General features: G+C 45.8%; 1 protein-coding gene and 1 long non-coding RNA gene across 2 annotated transcripts; both read left to right on the top strand.

Annotated features, from left to right (window-relative positions):
- The first annotated feature begins 5,858 nt into the window (after positions 1-5,858).
- Positions 5,859-13,307, top strand: LOC105375288 (uncharacterized). Its single transcript, XR_927277.3, has 3 exons — positions 5,859-6,925; positions 7,087-7,196; positions 12,883-13,307. It is a non-coding gene; the product is annotated as an uncharacterized LOC105375288 (long non-coding RNA).
- Positions 13,308-16,771: 3,464 nt separating this feature from the next.
- On the top strand, positions 16,772-18,508 carry NUPR2 (nuclear protein 2, transcriptional regulator). The gene is made up of 2 exons (NM_001145712.2): positions 16,772-17,174; positions 18,292-18,508. The coding sequence occupies exon 1, from the start codon at positions 16,875-16,877 to the stop codon at positions 17,166-17,168; it is 294 nt and encodes a 97-aa protein (NP_001139184.1). The 5' UTR covers positions 16,772-16,874; the 3' UTR covers positions 17,169-17,174; positions 18,292-18,508.

The following is a 24,872-nucleotide window of genomic DNA, read 5'->3' as shown; positions in this document are numbered from 1 at the left end:
GCCTGATCTGACCCAGAGTCATTTTTTCTGTGCCCTCTTTATTAAAGTAGTCACAAGGCCTGCTTGGGGTCAAAGGGATAGACACTCTCCAATTCCTGATAAGGTAAAGTCAGGCTGAGAGATTATTCTGGTCACCTTTGCTCCATGTCAGGACTTTGATTTCCAAAATCCCATTTCCTAGTGCTTCCTGACAAATGACACTTTTTCTTTTTTTTTTTTTTTTTTTTTAGACTGGGGTCTTGCTCTATCATCCAGACTGAATTGCAATGGCTCACGCCTGTAATCCCAGCACTTTGGGAGGCCAAGGTGGACAAATCACCTGAGGTCAGGAGTTCAAGACCAGCCTGGTCAATATGATGAAACCCTGTCATCATAGCTCACTGCAGCCTCGATCTCCTGGGCTCAAGTGGTCCCCCAGCCTCTGCCTCCTGAGTGGTTGGGACTACAAGTGTGTGCCACCACACCTGGCTATTTTTTTTTAATATGTTGTAGAGACAAGGTCTTACTATGTTGCCCAGGCTGGTCTCCAACTCCTAGCCTCAAGCACCTTGCACCTTGGCCTCCCAAAGTGCTGGAATTGCAGGCATGAGCCACCATACCCGGCCAGATAATACTTCTTGATTATGTTCCAAATGTAAATGATGCACATACATTTACCTTAGCAGAACATAAGTGCTTCATTCATCCCTTGTCTAACATTTTCCCCAAGAAAACAATTTGAATTTAACCCAATTTTTGGCAATTATAAATTCACAAGTGAAAGGTAAGTTTTTGTAAGCCAATAAAATACACATCCAGAATCAGCTCTTCTGAAATTAGTAGCAATTTTAGAAACATGTTTGCAAACCAAATGATCAATTCTAACAAAATCGGAAGGGGAAAAGTGAATCTACTTAAGAAAATTAACTCTGGATACTTAACATTCACGTTATCAGCATCATTTGCATGTAAACATTCTGCTCTTTTCAAAGATTCTTATCTAGTCATTAAAGTAGGCCTTGTACTTGGCTAAATGCTTGTCATAATTTCACATTTTCAGTCACTAGGGCTGTCCACCCTCCAAGATATTCCAATTAAGAGTTTATCCCTCAGGCTGGGCACAGTGGCTCACGCCTGTAATCCCAGCACTTTGGGAGGCCAGGACGGGTGGATCATGAGGTCAGAAGTTCGAGACCAGCCTGGCCAACATAGTGAAACACAGTCTCTACTAAAAATACAAAAAATTAGCTGGGTATGGTGGCGGGCACCTGTAATCGCAGCTACTTGCGAGGCTGAGGCAGGAGAATCACTTGAACCCAGGAGGCAGAGGTTACAGTGAGCCAAGATCATGTCATTGCACTCCAGCCTGGGTGATAGTGTGAGACTCTGTCTCAAAAAAAAAAAAAGAGTTTATTACTCTGTCACACTTTCAGGAGCCTGAGTAGACATATAGTAAAATTCTATCTAAAGGATGTATCCCAGGCTATAGCTGCTCTGCCTCAGTGCCATTTTTTTTTTTTTTTTGGCCTTGGGTTTCTAATGAAAATAATCTATTGATCCTGTTCAAAAGAGAAACACACAGCTCCAAATCATTACCTCCTGGCAGTAACTGATTTTTGAGTCCTATCTGCTTCACCACACTCCTTTAATGGCAGTTGAATAAATATCTAAAATGCAGACTTTTCAGTCCTTTCTGAAGGATAGTGTCTTCCAAGAGGGGGGCGAAAATCAATAAAACCAACAAATATTTACTGCACATCAAACTATGTGTTCAGTGCCAAGCTAGACACCCTCAGGGTCTTTGTCCTTAAGGAGGTTACACACAGCAGTGGAAACTGGATAAGGTCAAAAGGATAATTCTGAACTGCCTGAAAGGGACCTCTAACCTGCCATTTGACCTTCCCTTGATCCTGCTCAAATAACAGCTCAGGGGACCAGGGAGGGACATGTGACCAAAGCCAGCCAGTGTAAGCCATTGCTTGTGTGTGGCCCGGCTCAGGGAGACAAACTGGTACAATCCAATTCTCACCAGAATTTGAGCTAAAAGGCATAGAAGTTTTTGCCAACAGGGGTGGTGAGCACTAGAGCTGAAAGGTCATATCGATTTAGGGAAGAGGGCAATTTTCAACAACAACTAAAAGGGCTAATCAGCACAAAGAGATGAATTGCACAAACCCACAGCACACAACCAGAAAGAGAAAGAGAAGACAGGCTTCAGTTTGTGATGTCGAGACACAGTTCCCCAGAGGCTGCTTCTATTTCTAGTCCTTTCCTCGGATTCTGTGAGATCGCTTTACAAGACAACAGCTCCTTTTTGGGCCTGAGATTATTTGGCTATGTTCTGTGCCTTAGAACCCAAAAGCCCAAAAGAAGCTCATGCACTTATGTACTAAATGCTGCATTGGCCGGGAGCAATGGCTCATACCTGTAATCCCAGAACTTCGGGAGGCTGAGGTGGGAGAAACAGCTGAGGTCAGGAGTTCGAGACCAGCCTGGTCAACATGGTGAAACCCTGTATCTACTGAAAATACAAAAATTGGCCAGGCGTTTGGTGGGCACCTGTAATCCCAGCTACTTGGGAGGCTGAGGCAGGAGAATCGCTTGAACCAGGGAGGTGGAGGTTGCAATGAGCCGAGATTGTGCCATTGCACTCCAGCCTGGGCAACAAGAGTGAAACTCCATCTCAAAATAAATAAAGAAATGTCGCGTGGGCAATGTTGACAATTCTTGCAACCAGTGTTCACTTGACAGTGCTGGCTTTGGGCTGCAGTTGAGGACTAGAATTTGAAAACTGAGCACAACTTGAAATGATGCAGATTACACTGGCTCTTTCTAAGCCCAGAAACCTTGGATGTTGGCAAATAGCATGCAACAAGAACTCCTGGCAAAACCTGCTACATTGTCTTAGAATAAAGGACTGGCTTGCCAGGGGGCAGGGGTGAGCAGGAGACTTAACTGGGGCTACATACCTTTTTGTGTCTTTCGGAATTTTGTTAACATATGCATATTCAAAAAATAAATAAGCAGTTTATTTTTTCACAGACAGCACACTTGGGCATGAACAAAACATGTAGCAATACGTTTTCATGAAAACAACATCTCGCCCTAGAAAAACATTTTGTTATTTGACCTAGTTACCGGGTCTACCACGGTCTGGTTCAAAGTAATTTACTCAATCCTGCCGCCAACTGCCCACCTTCCAGAACATTCCATTGCAGCCACTCTGGTCTGATTTTAAAAAGTTGCCTTTTTCCTGTATTTTTTAAAATAATAGTACTCTCTTGCAGATCTACCAATATAATAAGTCCATTTAGAGTCAATAAGTAAATATTTCAAGAAACTAAAAATCCAGAAACAAACTTATACATAAAAAAGCGTCTTCTGGACGGGCATGGTGGCTCATGCCTGTAATCCCAGCACTTTGAGAGGCCGAGGCAGGCGGATCACAGGTCATGAGTTTGAGACCATCCTGGCTAACACAGTGAAAACCCATCTCTGCTAAAAATACAAGAAAAATTAGCCAGGCGTGGTGGCACATGCCTGTAGTCCCAGCTACTCAGAAGGTTGAGGCAGAAGAATCGTTTGAACCTGGGAGGTGGAGATTGCAGTGAGCCAAGATCGTGCCACTGTACTCCAGCCTGGGCGACAAAGAAAAAAAAAATTGTCTTCTACTTTCTCCATTCTGAGGTTTTGCTTTTGAGGTTCTACTCAGGAATGCTTTTCTTACCCCAGTCCCTCACCCCCATGCCCCTCACTCCTCCACCTCCTGGTGCTACCCACCTGCTTTCCAGGCTGTGAAAAATTTTCCTCTTAAAGCCCTCCCAGATCCCACCAACCTATTTTCCTACTTCATGTATAGTTTGTTCAGGCCATTTGTCAATTTCTCATGTCTCTTCCAATCAGGCACTGTATACTCTATAACCCTAAAATAAATATTAGTTTTTTCTTGGCTTAAACCATTGTATTGAGTGGCTACTGACATTGTATTGCTGTATAAGCTCTCACAGGTAGACCCTGCTTCCCTAGAGATCAGGGTCTGTGGTCTACTTCACATTCCCTAACTGAATATAGAAGGTTCCCAGTAAATATATATCAATTAATTGAAAGCTCTGCATGAAAAACTTTTATTAGTGCACACACATACAAAAATTAGAAGACCTGGGCCAGGTGTGATGGCTCACACCTGTAATCCCAGCACATTGGGAGGCCAAAGCGGGTGGATCACCTGAGGCCAGGAGTTTGAGACCAGCCTGGCCAACATGGCGAAACCCCTGTCTCTACTAAAAATACAAAAATTAGCCAGGTGTGGTGGCACATGCCTGTAATTCCAGCTACTTGGGAGGCTGAGACAGGAGAATCACTTGAACCCAGAAGGTGGAGGTTGCAGTGAGCAGAGATTATGCCACTGCACTCCAACCTGGGTGACAGAGTGAGAACACATCTCAAAAACATAAAAAATAAAAAATAATTAAAAAATCAGAAGATCCACATTCCCAACTCATCCAGCTGCACAAATCATTCACTGTGTTTCCATGATCTTCTCAAAGAGCTACTATAGACAATTTCCAATTATTTGTGTCAGTGGGGAACAGGAATAGTCTGAAAAATGAAACCCACATAATCTATACCTTTAATTTTGGTGGATGCTTCCAGCCAGTATGAAAATTCCCACTGTGAATGTCACTGTATTTTTGTATTTTTAGTGCAGATGGGGTTTCACCATGTTGGCCTGGCTGGTCTCGAACTCCTGACCTCAGGTGATCTACCCACCTCGGCCTCCCAAACTGTTGGGGTTACAGGTGTGAGCCACCGTGCCTGCCCACCTCTTGACTTTTTATAGTTGTTGTATTATTTTAATCTTGAGTAAATAAATGCTAGCTGAAATGATGCAGTTCAGGAGAATCTTCTGCTTCTGTTACTAAAAAATATATATATATTCTTACAAGTCCAATAAGGTTATGCTAATGTTTATGTTTGGAAAATATTACCTCTTCTGCCGGGTGCATCACTATTGTTCCTGCCCCTCCTCTCTGGCAGAACTTTGGGAGGCCAAGGTGGGAGGATCACCTGAGGTTGGGAGTTCGAGACCAGCCTGACCAACATGGAGAAACCTGTCTCTATTAAAAATACAAAATTAGCTGGGCGTGGTGATGCCTGCCTGTAATCCCAGCTACTCAGGAGGCTGAGGCAGAATCGCTTGAACCTGGGAGGTGGAGGTTGTGATGAGGTGAGATCGCAGCATTGCACTCCAGGCTGGGCAATAAGAATGAAACTCCATCTCAGAAAAAAAAAAAAAAAAAAAAAAAAAAGATTTCTTAAAATGATATTTTCCGTATTTTATAGATGATGTGTGAGTAGCAATCTTAATAGGATGTTACCTGACACTTTAGGGGACTAGAAGATGACAGTGGCAGCTGATTCGATCCAGATGTCTCTAATTCTTTTTTTGTTTTGTTTTGTTTTGTTTTGGAGACAGAGCCTGGCTCTGTTGCCCACGCTGGAGTGCAGTGGCGCTATCTCACTATCTCAGCTCACTGCAACCTCCACCTCCTGGGTTCAAGCAATTCTCCTGCCTCAGCCACCCGAATAGCTGGGATTACAGGTGCATACCACCACACTCAGCTAATTTTTGTATTTTTAGTAGAGACAGAGTTTCACCATGTTGGCCAGGCTGGTTTCAAACCTCTGACCTCAGATGATCTGCCTGCCTCAGCCTTGCACCTGGCCCAGATGTCTCTAATTCTAACATGATGTGTATTGGAGAATCATAGCAGAGTGAGTTGCTGGTGTATCCACAAAGAAATGAGCATGGAACTCTCACGACAGCTGTCCTGAGTAGTGTGTGTGTGCTGTTCTTGAATATCTCACTGCTGATTTATACACAGGCTTTCTGGTGACTGAGTCAACAGTATCTGTTTCATAAATAATGTAGCCTTATTTCTTTCTTTCTTTATTTCTTTTTTTTTTTTTTTTTTTTTGAGACAGGGTCTTGCTCTGTTACCCAGGCTGGAGTGCAGTGGTGCGATCTTGGCTCACCGCAACTTCCGCCTCCCGCATTCAAGTGATTCTTCTGCCTCAGCTTCCCGAGTAGCTGGGATTACAGGTGCCACCATGCCTGGCTAATTTTGGTTTTTGTTTTTTTGTGGGGTTTTTTGTTTATTTTTTGAGATGGAGTTTTGCTCTTGTTGCCCAGGCTGGAGTGCAATGACACAATCTCGGCTCACCACAACCTCTGCCTCCTGGGTTCAAGCGATTATCCTGCCTTAGCCTGTTGAGTAGCTGGGATTACAGGCATGCACCACCACTCCTGGCTAATTTTGTATTTTTAGTAGAGACGGGGGTTTCTCCATGTTAGTCAGGCTGGTCTCAAACCCCCGACCTCAGGTGTTCCACCCGCCTTGGCCTCCCAAAGTGCTAGGATCACAGGCATTAGCCACCGCACCCAGCCTAATTTTTGTACTTTTAGTAGAGATGGGGTTTTACCATGCTGGCCAGGCTGGCTCGAATTTCTAACCTTAAGTGATCCGCCTGCCTCGGCCTTTCCAAGTGTTGGAATTACAGGCATGAGCCACCACGCCCAGGCAGCCCTATTTCTTTAAACCTATATATTTTGCACTTGTTAAAAGTATTTGTACATACACTTATCCAGCTTCCCTTGTTTATGTATGCTTGAATTTTGTATAAGCTTAAATATTTTTTCCAATCTAAGCTTTATTTTATCCCCTTTCTTCTACATTTGTATAACTTTAGGTGACTGTCTTTGTTAAAGTTTTTTCTGAAAAGGCTTAAAATACAATATAGTTCTTGGCATCAACTTGAAAGTTATTTGAGGAGAAAGGGAGATTTATAATGATGATTCAAATGAAGCAAACTAAAAAATAATGAAGCAAGACGAGGAAAAAGCAGTATTCACTTGAGCACATCCCAAAAGAATAACATTTCAAATGTAAGTAGAAAAAGTATACTGAAGTTCACAATACAGAAAGAATTATTAATACTCAAAATAGCTTTAAAGCCCTGCTCAGCTTTTGAATGTTGGGAATTGACCCGGAGGTAGCTGTAACCTAAGATGGTTCCTTCAGTAATGACCATTTTTTCTTTCTCAAGATGATGATTATTCTCCACCTTCTAAGAGACAAAGACCAACGAGCCACCACAGCCACCAGTCCCGGAACCCGCCAATGCTGGGGAACCGAAAGTGAGGGAGTTCAACTCTGGTAAGTTCTCAGCGAAATCCACAGCCTTTTCCTTCATCTTCCGGACTCTCAATGTGACTGATTAAACTTACAACATGCTCTGCAGGGGGAAACGCTTTAGCATGTATTACTACATTTTAATCACATCTTTGTAAAGCCAGGAGCATTTTGAAAGTCACATTACATACATTGTTTAAACATGGTTTCTATTTACCAAAGCATAGGACGTTGTATCATCTCATATTAATCAGTTAGTTGGCTCAAAATTAGTGGTAATGACTTAGTAATTCAATAATTTCTCTTAGCTTTAAAACCTTGTTTATTTCAGAACTATTTCACCTCTTGGTTTTTGTTTTTGCTGTGCATCACTGCCTGCCAGCTGCTAAACTCTTATCTCCCAGTGGATTATGTGTCCTGTGAAGGGACTGAATGAGATATTAGTGGCAAATTATGTTGATGATTCATATTTTGAATAAATAGATTAAGCTTGTATACATTTTGAAAATAGTATTTTAATATTTTACTGTCATAGTCAATACCTGGGGGTACTCTGAGGCTCCCCAAGTTTCCCTGGCCCTGTCCGGCTGTGCTGCTGGCCTGGGCATCTGATGAGCCTGCAAGGGTGACTCCCGAGAGGTGGGTGGTCCAGGAGCTAGGGCAGGAACTTTGGAGTCACGCTGTTGGCTTTGAATCCAGACTCCTACACTTGGTAGCTGTGACCTCTCCATGCCTCAGTGACCTGGAGAACTGAGCTCTGTCTGAGCCAGGTCCCATTCAGGCTATACGGATCCATCCAGAGGGAAACTGCCCCAGGTTGCTCAGTGTTCACTGCCAGCCTTGTGCGATGTCTCAAGGGCTTTCCCAAGCAGATCCTTGTCTCCTTCAAGGCTCTCACAAACCAGTGAAGGAGGCAAAACTCACCTGCTTCCGTCCCTCGGGGCACACCTCATGCCAGGTGCATCTGTGGACATGGGCCGTGCTCCTGGGCTTCCAAAGTTGGAGAATGTTGCCAGGCTTAGGTGGGTACATCAGAGCAGCTGCTGCACTCTGGACACAGTGACAAAAAACACTCTTGGCCTGCCGGGCACGATGGCTCATGCCTGTAATCCCAGCACTTTGGGAGGCCGAGGCGGGCAGATCACCTGAGGTCAGGAGTTCAAGACCAGCCTGGCCAACACAGGGAAACCCTATCTCCAGTAAAAATACAAAAATTAGCTGAGTGTGGTGGCAGGCGCCTGTAGTCCCAGCTATTCAGGAGGCTGAGGCAGGAGAATCGCTTGAATCCGAGAGGTAAAGTTTGCAGTGAGCCGAGATGACGTCACTGCGCTCCAGCCTGGGTGACAGAGTGAGACTCTGTCTCAAAAAAACAAAAAACAAAAACACTCTGGGCCTGGAGTCCTGGTCTGGGGCATTGGACAAGGCTCTTGCACTTCTTTGAGCTTGTTTCCCCATCTGGAAAGTGCGCTGATTGTATCTTCCTGTGGGCACTGAGGGCTCAGTGTTAGTTTGAGAGCCAGCACCTGGGGGGGTCTATAATTGGTCTATAATTCCCCTTTGGCCCTATAGCTGGGGGGAACCAGAGACTTTGTTGGGATTACCTTAGGCATCAGTCTAGCTTCCTGCCCCTAGCTTGGGCTCAGCATCTGAAGTAGTCTAGGGGGGCAGGTGGTCTCGGTGGAGGTTGGGGCTTTTCTCCAGACTGAGGTCACACCCAGAGCCAGAAATCTTGGCACCTGCTCTGGGCTAAGGATGCTCCTGGCCCCCAGGGTGCAGGTAACTTCCCACCTTACCTGGTTTCTGCCTTCCAGGGCCAATCTTCAGAACTTGGGACTTCTCAGCCTATTCCACCTCCCTCTCTGGCCAGCTTTGAATGCTTGTGGGTCCAGCACTTTTTCCAAGCTATCGCCTAGTTGTTCTCCTGGTTGTTCAGCCTGGGCTCATGCTGCTCCCTCTCCCACTCACCAAGACCCACAAGGACCACTCCATACCCAGCTCAGCCCCATCCCCTCAGATAGTCCTGTCTCTTTCCTCAGGTGACCAGGTGCATATTTTGGTGTAAGGACCTTCACTGCACCTGGGAATGCCTACTGGTCACCTTGTTCACAGAGACCAAGGCATTTACTTGATATGAGTGCCCTTGGTTCACTGTCTACATGGCCAGGGAGGGAGTGAATAATAGGCTTTTCACTTGCTGCAAGGGCCAGTTCTCCTGGCCCCATGGCTCTAGGGATGGAGGATGCTGCAGGAGACACACCCCTCACTTCCCAGCTGAGGAGTGTGGGTCATCTCAGGGCAATTTCACTGTCCCTGCATGCCCCATCTCCTCAGCTCTGCAAATACCAAGCAGTGCTGCCTGCCTACGGGACAGTGGGCTCAGGAGTGGCCAGGTAGTCCCCAGAATGCCCTTGGCAGGCCCCTCATCTAGCTTCTCCCACAGCTCTGTAGCAAGAGTTCTAAACTTTTTTGAGTGTGGAGACTGCTGAGAGTAAGAGCTGTGGGCCGTTTTCCAAGAAACGCATGTACACGCTCTCCACACAAAACCTTACATTGTTTCAGGGGGCTCACACCTTCCTAAAAGGGCCCAGTAATCGTACCCCTGGACCTGAGGGTGAGAAACCTTACCTCAGTTCTTCCCCAGTTGATCACCCCAGGAGTAAGGGAGGAGAGGCCAGAAAGCAGAACCCATGGGAAGGGCCCCCTCCTGGAGTTTGAGGCCCACTCCCTCCTGCCCTGCCTCTCCTCTGTCCAGAACTCCTCCCTATTCTGCCCTACTCCTGGGGCCATGGCCAGGGGGGTCTGCATTTTGATATAGGCCCCAGTGGCAACCCTGGGCCCAAAGTGGGCAGGCTCACCTGGAGGGGATCAGAGTAACATGGCAGGAAGTGAGGGGGAAAGCCGCCCTGGAACCGTGCCTCTCTGCCCCCTGACGTCACTGGCATGCACTCCTCCCTCCCCTCACTCAGGCAGTGGCATGAGTTCCATGTGAGTGCTGTCCTGCTCCCTCTGCTGCCTCTTTCTAGTCTTAGGGCTATCATAACACTTTCCCTTCCCCAGCCCTGCCAACCCGGTGGGACATTGGGCTTCCCTCTCACAGAGTCCTTGGGACAGGCCCATCCTGTATCATACCCACAGAGAGACCCTTTTTTTCTTCAGGGCCTGGGGAGCAGCCAGGTTCCATGAGTTAAATGCAGGTCTGACCCATACCAAGCTGGGATTGGGGTACACACTCTCTTCTACTGAAAAGTAGCTAGGGATTCCAACTTGGTGAGAGGGAAAGTGGGGCAGAACCAGACCAGACAAGGAGTGGTCACCTGGAAAAGGCCTGCCATCAAAGGTCTTGGCAAGTGCTGGGTGTAGTGGCTCACTCCTGTAATCCCAGCACTTTGGGAGGCTGAGACACGTGGATCACTTGAGGCCAGGTGTTCGAGTCCAGCCTGAGCAACATGGTGAAAATTTGTCTCTCCTAAAAATACAAAAATTAGCTAGGCATGCTATGCTCCTGTAATCCCAGCTACTCGGGAGGCTGAGGCAGGAGAATCACTTGAACTGGGGAGGCAGAGGTTGAAGTGAGCTGAGATCTTGCCACTGCACTCCAGCCTGGGAGACAGAGTGAAACTGTGTAAAGAAAATGGCCTTGTCAGAGGGGATGGCCCGGCAGTACCTTCCCTTGGGTTTCTCCTGGGTAGGCCTCTGCCATGAGGAGGTGCTTCCTTCTGCCTGTCCATGGCCCACAGCAAAGGAATGTCTGCTTCTGGGGGTTGGGTGGGAGACGGCTGACAGAACTGGAAATCTTCTTCAGGTGGGTTGTTTTTTTGTTTTGTTTTGTTTTGTTTTTTTGTTTTTGAGACAGAGTCTCGCTCTGTTGCCCAGGCTGGAGTGCAGTGGTGCAATCTTGGCTCACTGCAACCTTCACCCCCCTGGGTTCAAGCAATTCCCATGTCTCAGCCTCCTGAGCAGCTGAGATTACAGGCATGTGCCACCATGCCTGGCTAATTTTTGTACTCTTTGTAGAGACGGGATTTCACCATGTTGGCCAGGCTGGTCTGAAACTCCTGACCTCAAGTGATCTGCCCACCTTGGCCTCAGAAAGTGATGGGATTACAGGCATGAGCCGCCACCCGCCGGCCCCTTCAGGTGGGTTTTGAGGCTTCACTACAATACTAGTTTCTAGTTGCTGCTGCAACAAAGTACCACACACTTAGTGGCTTAAAATTATACAGATGTATTCCCTTAGAGTTCTGAAGGCCAGAATTCTAGTCAGTCCCACTGAGTGAAGGTGGGAGCAGGTTCGATGCCTTGCAAGGCTCTCCGGGAGAATCCATTTCCTGGTCCTGGGGGCGGCCTTCACTCATCAGCTTTTGCTGCCCTTTTTCAATGACTCATGTTTCCTGCTTCCATCACTACACCTCCCACCCTCTCCATCACCTGCTCTTCTAAGGATCCTGGTGAGTACATCAACCCCGCAGGGACAAGCTGGGATAATCCTCCTGGCCAAAAATCCTTAACTTCATTATATCTGCAAAGCTCCTTTTGCCATATACGGTCATGTTCACCGATCCCTGGGATTGGGATATGAGCATTTTGGGGGGGTCACTATCAGTCTACTACAGCTAGGCTGCAAAACTATTATACTCTCCTGGTGTTTCAGTGATTGGGATTGGGAGACAAAGTGTTGGGATTTTTTGCTTTGGGGTCCCTCTATTTTTTTTGTTTGTTTTTTTGAGAGGGAGTCTTGCTCTGTTGCCAGGCTGGAGTGTGGTGGCGCGATCTTGGCTCACTGTCACCTCCGCCTCCCGGGGTCACGCCATTCTCCTGCCTCAGCCTCCTGAATAGCTAGGACTACAGGTGTGTGCCACCACACCTGGCTAATTTTTTGTATACATTTTTAGTAGAGATGGGGTTTCACCATGTTGACCAGGATGGTCTAGATCTTTTGACCTCGTGATCCACCCACCTCAGCCTCCCATATCCCAGGCATGAGCCACCATGCTCAGCCAGGGTCCCTCTTAAACTTGTATTTTTAAGGTCTGGGGTCCCTCTTAACCTTTTTTTTTTCCCTTCTTTCTTTTTTGAGATGGAGTCTTACTCTGTCACCCAGGCCGGCAGTGGGGCGTGGTCTCGGCTCACTGCAATGTTCACCTTCTGGGCTCAAGCGATTCTCCTGCCTCGGCCTCCTGAGTAGCTGGGACTACAGGCACCTGCCACAACACCTGGCTTAGTTTCATATTTTTGGTAGAGATGGGGGCGGGGGTGGAGGTGGGGAGGGGGGTTTCTGCTATGTTGCCCTGAGCTCAAAGCGATCTGCCCACCTCCGCTCCCAAAGTGCTAGGATTACAGGCCTGAACCGTCACACCCAGCTGCTGTAAAGTCTTATTTCCACACAGCTGAGACATGTTTTAGGAAGTTTGCTAACAGACCCCTGGAGACCTCCTCATTGTGGCCTCCCTGTTGTTTTTGATTCATCTTTTCTGCCCTCCTGCTTTTCAGAAATTAAAAGGCTAAAAAGAGGTACTAAACTTTAAAACTTCTCTTATAGTCTCCCATTAAACTAATTCTAAGAACCACCAAAAAAGGGGAAAAAAAATTCAAAAGCAGTGAAATGATATGGACTGTGAGGATGTAAAATATTGGAAATAAGTCATTATATGTTAGTGCTGCTCTGACATAGGGACATATTATTGAGAATCAACTTTTGCTCAATTTTCAGAGAAATGGAATAATCGTATGGCTGATCTATGTAAACAAGTTGAAGAATTGTCTGAAAGAAAATATGGTATGTCTAAACTGGAAAAGTCCTGTAATCCTTTGTTCATGAGCATTTACACAATGGAGTTACTGTTCATCATGGGGTACTGTGGACAAGCCCAGGGCTGCTGGTGAATCCTGCCATACTTACAGGTTTCTCCTTGTAAGGTTCTTTGTAGTGTCTAAATATTAGAAACATTCTTTGTTTCTAGATTACTGCAAAGCTAAGGAAAAGTTGTACTTCTTTAATTATCATTATCATTTCTTTTAAACTTTCAGCATGGATATTGGAGATTTACTTACATATTTATTGCAAAGCCCTGGATCTTAGGGATTTAATTGAATGTTTTAATACTGTTTCTCTTAATCTGCCTTGTTAAATTTGGTATTCACCAAGATGCCCCTATTGTCTCTACTTTTATCTTTTTTTTTTTTTTTTTTGGGACAGTCTCGCACTGTTGCCCAGGCTGCAGTGCAATGGTGCGATCTCGGCTCACTGCAACTTCTGCCTCCCGGGTTCAACCCACTCTCCTGCCTCAGCCTCCTGAGTAACTGGGATTACAGGTGCCCACCACCACGCCCCACTAATTTTTTTTGTAGTTTTTAGTAGAGACGGAGTTTCACTATGTTGGCCAGGCTGGTCTCGAACTCCTGACCTCATGATACACCCACCTTGGCCTCCCAAAGTGCTGGGATTACAGGCGTGAGCCACCGCGCCCAGCCTCTACTTTTATCTTGATGCATCACCGAGTTGATGTTAGATTTCAAATTCTTCTTTGCCCTTATGCCATTCTATCCTGAACCCACCTTTATATGATGATGAAAGAAATTAGCAATATGTTATTATCTATCTGTTGGTATATATCAAATGCTCACCTAAAAATAGCAACAACCAGTGAAAAACATCATGTGCTTTGGTGTTTTTATTTGGATGACTATTTACTTTGCAATCTACTAGCAAGCTATAATATTGTATGATATGCAGAATTTTAACTGAATTGCTTTAAGTGAACATTTAAACATGATAAACCATATTGATGGTATTTATGTTAATATACTTGAAATGAACATTTTTTTCTTCATCATGAGTAATATATCCCTCAATGAAAATCTAGAATTAGAGTAAATTTGCTAATGAATTCAATAACTTTTCCATAATATTTTTAGTTATGTGCTTAAGGTTCTCTTAGTGTTTCTCCCACTTTTTAATAGCTTATGCCTTTTTTGCCTTTGTTTTTTATTGGTTCATTTTAAAGCAAAAACCTCACAACATGTGCTCCCCAGAAGCACTGTAACCTAGTGGTAAGATCATAGACTCTGGGGACACAGGCTGGCCACGTCTCTTCTCCTGTCTGAGCCTTAGTATCCTCCTGTAGTCATGAGAACTGAAGATCTATCCTGAAGATTTGATAAGATAGTAAAGTGCTTCACATAATATCGGGCATATAAATACATAATAAATGCTTCCTGACCTCAGGTGATCCTCCCACCTCGGCCTCCCAAAGTGCTGGGATTACAGGTGTGAGCCACCACGCCCAACCAAGAAATTCTTATGTAAAAAGAGGTTGGGCTCAGTGCCTCAATTCTAGCACTTTGGGAGGTCAGGGCAGGTGGATCACTTGAGGTCAGAAGTTTGAGACCGGCATGGGCAACATGATGAAACCCCATCTCTACTAAAAAATAAAAATAATTATCCAGGTGTGGTGGTGGGCGCCTATAATCCCAGCTTCTCAGGAGGCTGAGGCAGGAGGATCACTTGAACCTAAGAGGCGGAGGTTGCAGTGAGCCGAGATCATGCCACTGCACTCCAGCCTGGGCAACAACAGCAAGACTCCATCTCAAAAAAAAAAAAAAAAAAAAAAAAAAAAAAAAAACAGACTCCATCTCAAACAAAAACAAAACACAAATGTGGTATGGCAATGAAAATAATTGCTGTGTTAAAGACAGTTTCATAGAAAATAAAAGACCACTCAAATACAATAAGCTGTCTTTTTAGATGGGTATAATTATTATCCTTATTTAACAACTAAAGAAACAGGCTCAGAGGATGTTATTTGATTGGACTGTGTTGCATCTCTGGACAGTGCAGCTGAGATCAGACTTCATGTGTAACTCCACTAGCCTACCAGGGTGCCTCTCATAAAGGTAAAAAATGTAAATCTGGCCTAATCTACAAAGTTGCCAGGGCAGCACTGGGTCAATTCTACATACAGTACTTCTATATTCATAAAGAGAAACATTAAGGGAAGGTGAAAATGCTTCTAGAAGGCGACTGAACACCAGCACCCTTGCTTACTACCTTTGGGCTCTTCTTTAAGGCCAACAGTGACCTGAAATTATTGACTGACTTTTCCAATCAACTGGAGAAAATGGTACCAAGGTCACCAACATCAGACAAATTCACTTGAGGACCTATCTATGTGCTTTGAAAGACAAAACTGCTTTTGTAAAGGATACAGTATTTCAGAAAAACAATCATATTAACAACTAATAATACTGTAAAATGCTGATGTGTTGAATGCTACTTTAGAAAAACAGGTTCAAATCTAGGAAAAAAATTTCCGACAGAAAGCTATGTATCAATTATCTAGCTAGCTATCTAGAGACATGGTCTCATTCTATTGCTCAGGATGGAGAGCAGTGGGATGATCATAGCTCACTGCAGACTTGAGTTGCTGGCCCCAAGTGATCTCCCTGCCTCAGCCTCCTAAGTAGCTGGGGCCACAGGTGGACACAGGTACACCTGGCTTTTTTTGTGTGTTTTGTAGAAACAAGGTTTCACTACATTGCCCAGGCTGGTCTCAAACTCTGGAGTCTCGATCTGTCGCCCAGGCTGGTCTCAAACTCTGGAGTCTCGATCTGTCGCCCAGGCTGGGATGCAGTGGTGCGACCTCGGCTCACTGCAACCTCCACCTCCCAGGTTCAAGCAATTCTCCCATCTCAGCTTTCTGAGTAGCTGGGATTACAGGCATGTGCCACCACACACAGCTAATTTTTGCGTTTTTTGTAGAGACCAGGTTTCACCACATGGGCCAGGATGGTCTCAAACTCCTGACCTCAGATGATCCACCCGCCTTGGCCTCCCAAGGTGAGGCGGAGTCACCACACTTTCTTATGTTATTAAATAGCCTAACCCAGGAAGGGTTACAGCTGTAATCCCAACAACTCTAAAGGCCAAGGTGAGAAGATCACTTGAACCCAGGACGAAACTGGCCTGGGCAACATAGCGAGACCCCCATCTCTACAAAAAATACAAAAATTAGGCCAGGGGTGCACCGCGCCCGGCTAATTTTTGTATCTTTTGTAGGGACGGGGTTTCGTCATGTTGCCCAAGCCATCCATCCTCACGCCTCGGCCTCCCAAAATGCTGGGATTACAGGGCCCAGTCAGCCTCATGTTTTCTTTAAGCAGTCCCTCCCTATTGCACACTTGGATAGTTTTCTTTTTTATTTTTTTAGACAGAGTTTACCTCAGTCTCGCAGGCTGGGGTGATGTAGTGGGAACATAGCTCATTGGAGCCATGAACCTTGGAGTTCAAGTAGCTGGGAAGCTGAGGTGGGACTTCAGAGATGGGGTCGCGCCATGTTGCCCAGGCTGCTCTTGACTGCCTGGCCTGAAGGGATCCTCCCACCTCCGCCGCGCCTGAACATAGTTTCCTATTTTTGACCAACATAAACACTGTGCTGAGTTGGAGTTTGTCAGCTACCCTTCTCCAGCAACAACAGGACCTGGCGGGGAGGTCCCGGTTACCAGGCTGCACTCCAAGGAGAAGACAGCCCTGCTCCAGGCACTGTACCGCCACTGTGACGTCGTCGAAGGTCCGCCTCTGTGGCGTCGCCGAAGGCACCCCCACCTTCACGCGGAGCCCATCGGAACTCGAGGCGGGGCTGCTGGGTCTTCCAGGAGCGCCCAGACGCGGGCAGGTGGCCGCCGGTGGCCACAGGCCTGGGCAGGATGGAAGCGCCCGCAGAGCGGGCGCTTCCACGTCTGCAGGCTCTGGCTCGGCCGCCGCCACCCATAAGCTACGAGGAGGAGCTTTACGACTGCCTGGACTACTACTACCTGCGCGACTTCCCGGCCTGCGGGGCAGGGCGCAGCAAGGGCCGGACTCGGCGCGAGCAGGCGCTGCGCACCAACTGGCCTGCACCTGGCGGGCACGAGCGCAAGGTCGCGCAGAAGCTCCTCAATGGCCAGCGCAAGCGCCGCCAGCGCCAGCTGCATCCCAAGATGCGCACTCGCCTCACCTGAGCCTGGGTACGTGCGCCCAACACCTCCCCCAACCAGTGCCCCGGGGACCCTAGGAGCGTCCCCCCACGGCGCGGCGCTGCTCGCCCTGGGCAGAGTCGGCTGCCTCTGAGGGAACCGTATTAGGGAACCGCACCCGCCAGCTTGGCCTCTTATGGCCATAGCAATAGCATTAAAGCCTGCGGAACTTCATAGGTGGGTAGAAGGGGCTAGGAAACGAAGAAAACATCTTTTTAAAAATATAAGCGATCGATGCCTGGGTGCAGTGGCTCACACCTGTAATCCCAGCACTTTGGGAGGCCGAGGCGGGCGGATCACAAGGTCAGGAGATCGAAACCATCCTGGCCAATATGGTGAAACCCCGTCTCTACTAAAATATATATATATATATATATATAAAATTAGCCAGGCACTGTGGTGCGCGCCTGTAGTCCCAGCTACTTGGGAGGCTGAAGCAGGGGAATGGCTTGAACCCTGGAGGGGGAGGTTGCAGTTAGCCGAGATCGTGCCACTGCACTCCAGCCTGGCGACAGAGCGAGACTCCGTCACACACACACACACACACACACACACACACACACACACACACACACAAATATATATATATATATATATATATATATATATATGCGATCGAGCCCGGGAGGCTGAGGTTACAGTGAGCCGAGCGGAGATTGCGCCACTGCTCTCCAGCCTGGGTGACAGAGGGAGACCCTGTGTCTAAAAAAAATAGATGCAGGTAGGAGCTTTTCTTCCGGCGCTCATACTCAGACTGAAGAAAGTAATTGGGCTGGGCCCGGTGGCTCAGATCTGTAATTCCAGCACTTTGGGAGGCCCAGGCAGACGTATCACTTTAGCTCAGGAGTTCCAGACTAGCCTGGTCAACGTGGTGAAACCACGTCGCTATAAAAATACAAAAAATAAGCTGGGCGTGGTGGCGCGTGCTTGTAGTCCCCGCTACTTGCGTGGCTAAGGCGGCAGGATCGCTTGAATCCAGGAGGTCTAGGCTGCAGTGAGCCATGATCGCCCCACTTCACTCCAGCCTAGGCGACAGAGTGAGACCCTGTGTCAAAAAAAGAAAAACAAAAAAGTAAATGACCTGCGTTTTTGTCTGTATTTCCTACAGGATACCGAAGGACCTGTTCGAAGTATTTACTGTAACTCCAACTGTAACTTGGTTCTGAGGAGGAGAGAATCCATGTTTGGTCAACAGAACTTTTCGCTGTCACTTAAGTTTACTGCTTCGATATCTTTTCCTTACTAATTGATTGTTAATTAAGTAGTGCCCAAGTGGATTAGCCTTTTTAGAGTTTATTAATTAAAAGAGAGCAGCAAGAATGGCATTTTAACTCTCCCGGGTTTTTTTTCAGTTACTATGGTAACTCTTTTCAAGTCCACAAATGATTTGTTCTTATCTGTAAAGAAAAGGTCACAAAGATAAGCGGAGAGAGACCAAAGATAGGAATATGTGTAAGATTTCTACCTAAATGTCGGCCGGGCACTGTAGCTCACTCCTGTAATCCCAGCACTTTGGGAGGCCGAGGTGGGCAGATCACCTGAGGTCAGGAGTTTGAGACCAACTTGGCAAACATGGCAAAACCCCATCTCTACTAAAAATACAAAAATTAGCCGGACATGATGGTGGGTGCCTGTATCCCAGCTACTCGGGAGCCTGAGTCAGGAGAATTGCTTGAACCTTGGAGGCCAAGGTTGCAGTGAGCCGAGATCATGCCACTGTGCTACAGCCTGGGCGACAGAGCAAGACTACATCTCAAAAAAAAAAAAAAAAAAAAAAAAGGATTTCTACCTAAATGTGATAGACTACTCTGAAGGTTAATATTTGCATATTATAATGTATATTGCACAGTGTGTCAATCTCAAATAATCAAAAGGGTCAGAATCTAAAGGGAGTTTATTCATGCACAGAGTTTTAGGAGGGCCACCTGGGAACCACAGATACCAAAGAGTGGAAGTCAGTGTTCCAAGGCTTAAAAGTTTGGGATCACTTACATAGACAAAGTTTAGAGAACCTTAGCAGAATTAAAGCACCTCTCCGTTTAGTCCAGGTGGTCTTTCTTTCACTCTGTCACCCAGGCTGGAGTGCAGGGGCACAATTGCAGCTCACTACAGCCTCAACCTCTCAGGCTCAAGCCATCCTCCCACCTTAGCATCCCTAGTAGCTGGGACTACAGGCACACACCAACACACCCAACTAATTTTTGTATTTTTTGTAGAGACAGGGTTTTGCCACATTGCCCAGGTGGTCTCAAACTGCTGGGCTTAAGCAATCCACTCACCTTGGCCTCTCAAAGTACTAGGATTACAGGCATGAGTGACTGTGCCCAGATGAGGTGGTCTTTTTTCCGGGAAAGGTGTGTTTAACCTTCCACACTGAAGATGTAAGTCATAGAGTCTTTTGTGCCATCTGGTGTGAGTTAGGTACAGAACAATAAAGGAGGCAGTTAATCTTTTAACAAAGATGAGTGATTGGAAGGAGAGGAGGTCTAGTCTCTGGTCTCTCATAGTCATTTACAGAATGAAAATAATAAGGAAAGAATAAATTATAATTTAAGAACCAGAAGTTACGAACATGCTATGTGGCTCAATCAGGGTGTAACTTCCCCCTTGGTGTGATAAATTTATATGGGGTCCTGAAACTTTTTTTTATAGTTGGTAGGTTCTCCACACTATTGATCCCACAACAATTTTTCGAGGTAGATGCTGCTATCCACATTTTTTTTTTTTTTGAGACAGTGTCTTGCTCTGTCGTCCAAGCTGGAGTACAGTGGCATGATCTCAGCTCACTGCAACCTCTGCTTCCTGGGTTCAAGCAATTCTCCAGACTCAGCCTCCCAACTAGCTGGGATTAAAGGTGCCCACAACCATGCCTGGCTAATTTTTGTATTTTTCATAAAGACCAGGTTTCACCTTGTTGGCCAGGCTGGTCTCGAACACCTGACCTCAGATGATCTACCCGCCTCAGCCTCCCAAAGTGCTGGGATTACAGGCATGAGCCACTGCGCCCAGCCCACATTTTAGAAAAGGGATTCTAAGGCACAGAGAGTTCAAGTACCTTTCCAAAGATGACACAGCTAATTAGATAGCAGACCAGGTGGCCTGACCCCAGGACTTTGCCTTTGGCCTCTATACTACCTTGTTGAGCACAGCAGTAAATATTTCATATGTAGTTTTATCCAGAATTTTCCTGTTGGTTGTGGTAAACCATGGTTTGTTCTTTTGAGACAGGGGCAAGCTCTGTTGCCCAGGCTTCTGGTGTGCAGTGGCACAAACACCAGCCTCAACCTCTTGGGCCCAGACAATCCATTTCAGCCTCCCAAAGCGCTGGGATTACAGGAATGAGCCATCATGCCCGGCCTCACACTATATTTTAATGCTTTTTTTGAAAATGGAAACTTTTACAGGCAATTCACTTCCTTCAAACTAATGATAAGGAAATGATGCTGTTCTGTTTTGTTTTGTTTTTACATGTTTTTTTTTGTTTGTTTGTTTCTTTTTTGAGACAGGGTCTTGCTCTGTTGCCCAGGCTGGAGTGTGGTGGTGCAATCATGGCTCACTTCAGCCTTGACCTCCCAGGCTCAAGCAATCCCTTCCCCCTCAGCCTCCCAAGTAGCTGGGACTGCAAGTGCATGCTACCACACTTGGCTAATTTTTGTATTTTTTGTAGAGACAGGTTTTCACCATGTTGCCGAGGCTGGTCTCAAACTCCTGGGCTCAGCTATCCTCTACCCTCGGCCTCCCAAAGTGCTGGGATTACAGGCGTGAGCCACTGTGCCTGGCTGATGCTGTTCTTTTCAAATGCATTTGTTGGTTTTTTATGTGTTTTTTTTTTTTTTTTTTTTTTTGAGATGGGGTCTCTGTCTCCCAGGCTGGAGTGCAGTGGTGCAATCTCTGCTCACAGCAGGCTGGTCTCAAACTCCTGACGTCAGATGTTCTTCCCACCTCAATATCCCAAAGTGCTGAGATGACAGGTGTGATCAACTGCACCTGGTGATTTTGCTTATTTAGCTAGTAGAACTTTTTAATTTAAAAAAAAATGTTGTTGAGCTGGAGTGCAGTGGTGTGATCTCGGCTCACTGCAACCTCTGCCTACTGGGTTCAAGTGATTATCCTGCCTCAGCCTCTCAAGTAGCTGGGACTACAGGTACATGCCACCACACCCAGGTAATTTTTGTATTTTTAGCAGAGATGGGGTTTCACCATGTTGGCAAGGATAGTCTCGATCTCTTGACTTTGTGATCTGCCCGCCTCGGCCTCCCAAAGTGCTGGGATTACAGGCATGAGCCACCACCCCTGGCCAAAAAAAATTTTCTTTTGAGACAGAGTCTCACTGTCCCACAGGCTAAAGTACCGTTGCACAGTCACAGCTCACTGTAGCCTCAACTTCCTGGACTCAAGTGATTCTCCCACCATAGTCTCCCAAGTATCTGAGACCACAGGTACACACCACCACACCTGGCTAATTTTTTTTGTATTTTGTAGAGCAGGGGTTTTGCCATGTTGCCCAGACTGGTCTCAAACTCCTGGGCTCAAGCGATCTTCCAGACTCAGCCTCCCAAAGTGCTGGGATTACAGGCATGAGCCACTGCACCTGGCCTTTTTAATTAAATTTAAATTGTAAATGTGGTCACTGTAGGAAATATGTGTATTACTTATCTACTGCTATGTAACAAATTACTCCAAACCTAGTGGCTTAAAATAAATACTTAGGGCCAGGCACAGTGGCTCATGCCTGTAATCCCAACACTTTGGGAGGCCGAGGTGGGCAGATCACAAGTCCAGAAGTTCAAGACCAGCCTGGGCGACATCATGAGACTCCATCTCTACAGAAAATGCAAAAATTAGCCAACCATGGTGGTGCGCACCTGTGGTCCCAGCTACTCAGGACGCTGATGCAGGAGAATCACTTGAGCCCGGGGGGCAGAGGTTGTAGTGAGCCAAGATCACACCACTGCACTCCAGCCTGGGTGACAGAGTGAGAGACTGTCTCAAAAATAAATAAATATAAAAAAAACTTAGATCTCCATTTCTGTGGGTCAGGAATTCAGGAGTGACATAGCTGGGTCATTTGGGCTCAGGGTGTCTCATGACATTGCAGTCAAGCTGTCGACTGAGACTGCAGTCACCTAAAGCCTGTTTCCAAGGTGGCTCACTTAAGGTGACTGCTGACCTGAGGCCTCACTTCCTGTCACATGAGCCTCTCTACAGGCTGCTTAGGTGTCATGGTGTGACAGCTGGCTTTCCCAAGTGAGTAATCAAAGAGTGAACAAGGAGGAAGCCACAGTACCTTTTATGATGTAGTTTGCAAAGTTGCAAACCATCACTTTTGCTTTTTCCTATCTGTCAGAAGGGAATCAGTTAACCCAGCCCCCACTCAAGGGGATAGGGACTGGGCTCCACCTTTTGAAGAGAATATCAAAGAATTTGTGGACATATTTTAAACTACCATGCTATGTTTAATTATGGCAAGTATGGTCACTGTAGAAAAACTGGAAAATAGGGACAAGCAAAAAAAAAAAAAGTCACTTATAATTCCATGACTCAATGGATGACAGTACTAGTTGGGTATATATAATTCCAATATTCAAAATATATATTTACTTTCTCAAACTATAAACACACTGTGTACTATTGTGTAATCTTCTCTTTCACACAATGTATTGTATGTATTGTAAAAATACCTTTCACGTCAAATATTCTTTCCTAACTTTTTTTTTTCTTGAGACGGAGTTTCCTTCTTGTCGCCCAGGCTGGAGTGCAGTGGTGCAATCTCTACTCACTGCAACCTCCGCCTCCCGGGTTCAAGCAATTCTCCTGTCTCAGCCTCCCAAGTAGCTGGGATTACAAGCATGAGCCACCCACACCCAGATAATTTTTTGTATTTTTAGTAGAGATGGGGTTTCACCATGTTGGCCAGGCTGGTCTCAAACTCCTGACCTCAAGTGATCCACCCACCTCAGCTCCCCAAAGTGCTGGGATTACAGGTTTGATCCACCGTGCCCAGCCCCTCATAATATTTTTTAATGGCTGCATACATTTCATCATATATATGTATCATAACTTATTTAACGAATTCTATTATAGGACACTTAGGTTGTTTACAAGTTTTTCCTGTTTTACACATTTTGTTAAATAAACATCCCTACGACACATTTATTTGTACAATCTTCACTGTTTCTTAAATTCCTAGAAGTAAAATTTCTGGAATACAGTTTGCATAATTTTAAAACTTCAAACACCTGTTACCTAATTTGAGCAGAATGTTTACTACAATATTCAAGAGTCCATTCAGCCAATGTCATATCTATGATAAAACCTGCAAAAGTTCGGATATTAATAACTGTAAGTAAATTTGTTGAGAGTGACTGAAATCACTATGGGATGAGAAGTTGCTATAGAAATTTTACTAAAGAGTGAACTAGCCAGGCACAGTGGCTCACACTTGTAATTCTAGCACTTTGGGAGGCCAAGGCAGGTGGATCACTTGAGGTCAGGAGTTTGAGACCAGCCTAACCAACATGGTGAAACCCCATCTCTACTAAAAATACAAAATTAGTCAGGTATGGTGGTGCACACCTGTAATCCCAGCTACTTGCGAGGCTGAGGCAGGAGAATTGCTTCAACCTGTGAGGTGGAGGTTGCAGCGAGCCAAGATTGCGCCTGGGCAACAAGAGCGAAACTCTGTCTCAAAAAAACAGAGTGAACTTCACACATCTGTCCCAGCAAACTATAAATGGTATATAGCAGAATTCTGGTATTTTCCATTCTGAGTTTTTTGTTCTTTGTTTTAATTAACTTTTTCTTAATTTGTTTTTTGGATAGAATAGATTAACTGCTTCAAAATCCAAAAGCTACTGACTGCCCCCCGCACCACAGACACCCAGTCCCACTGCCTGAAGGCAACCAGTGTTATCAACTTCAGATATTTTATGCATATCCAATATGGTCTTTTCTGTTTTACACAAATAATAGCACACTGTACTCAATTCTACCCCTTCCTTTTTTTTATCACTTGTAGTTTATTTTGGAAATCATTTCACATCAATATACAGAGAAGATTCCTCATTCTTTTTTTATAGTTGCATATTATGTGAATGTGTCTTTTTTTTTTTTTTTTTTTTTTGAGATGGAGTCTTGCTGTCGCCCAGGCTGGAATGCAGTGGTGCAATCTTGGCTCACTGCAACCTCTGCCTCCTGGGATCACGCCATTCTCCTGCCTCAGCCTCCCGAGTAGCTGGGACTACAGGCACGTGCCACCTCACCCGGCTAATTTTTGTATTTTTACTAGAGACAGGGTTTCACCATGTTAGCCAGGATGGTCTCAATCTGCTGACCTTGTGATCTGCCCACCTCGGCCTCCCAAAGTGCTGGAATTACAGGCGTGAGCCACCACGCCCAGCCTGCCATTATTTTTTTAACCAATATTCTATTGGCAGGAATTTAGGTTTTCTCCAATCCCTTACCAACACAAAATAACTTTGTGTGAACATCTAATAGTCTTTCAATTTAGGAATGAATGACTTAGCCACGTTTGAGTAAAATGGTGCCTGTTCTGGTCTGGATTCCTTTCTGTCTTGAACTGTCCAAAGTTCTCCTCGCTCTAAACCCTTCTTGTGCCAGAATGTATCCTTTATAAGACTGCTTTTCTTCATCTCTGCTTTTGAATTATCTAAAAGCAAGTAAAAAGTC

Source organism: Homo sapiens, chromosome 7 (genome assembly GCF_000001405.40).
Source record: "Homo sapiens chromosome 7, GRCh38.p14 Primary Assembly".
NCBI lineage: Eukaryota > Metazoa > Chordata > Mammalia > Primates > Hominidae > Homo > Homo sapiens.
This window is presented reverse-complemented; position numbering and strand designations above follow the sequence as displayed.

Bases quoted from the DNA above. Each gene is read 5' to 3' on its own strand.
- NUPR2 (NM_001145712.2), top strand. From the start codon at position 16,875: ATGGAAGCGCCCGCAGAGCGGGCGCTTCCACGTCTGCAGGCTCTGGCT.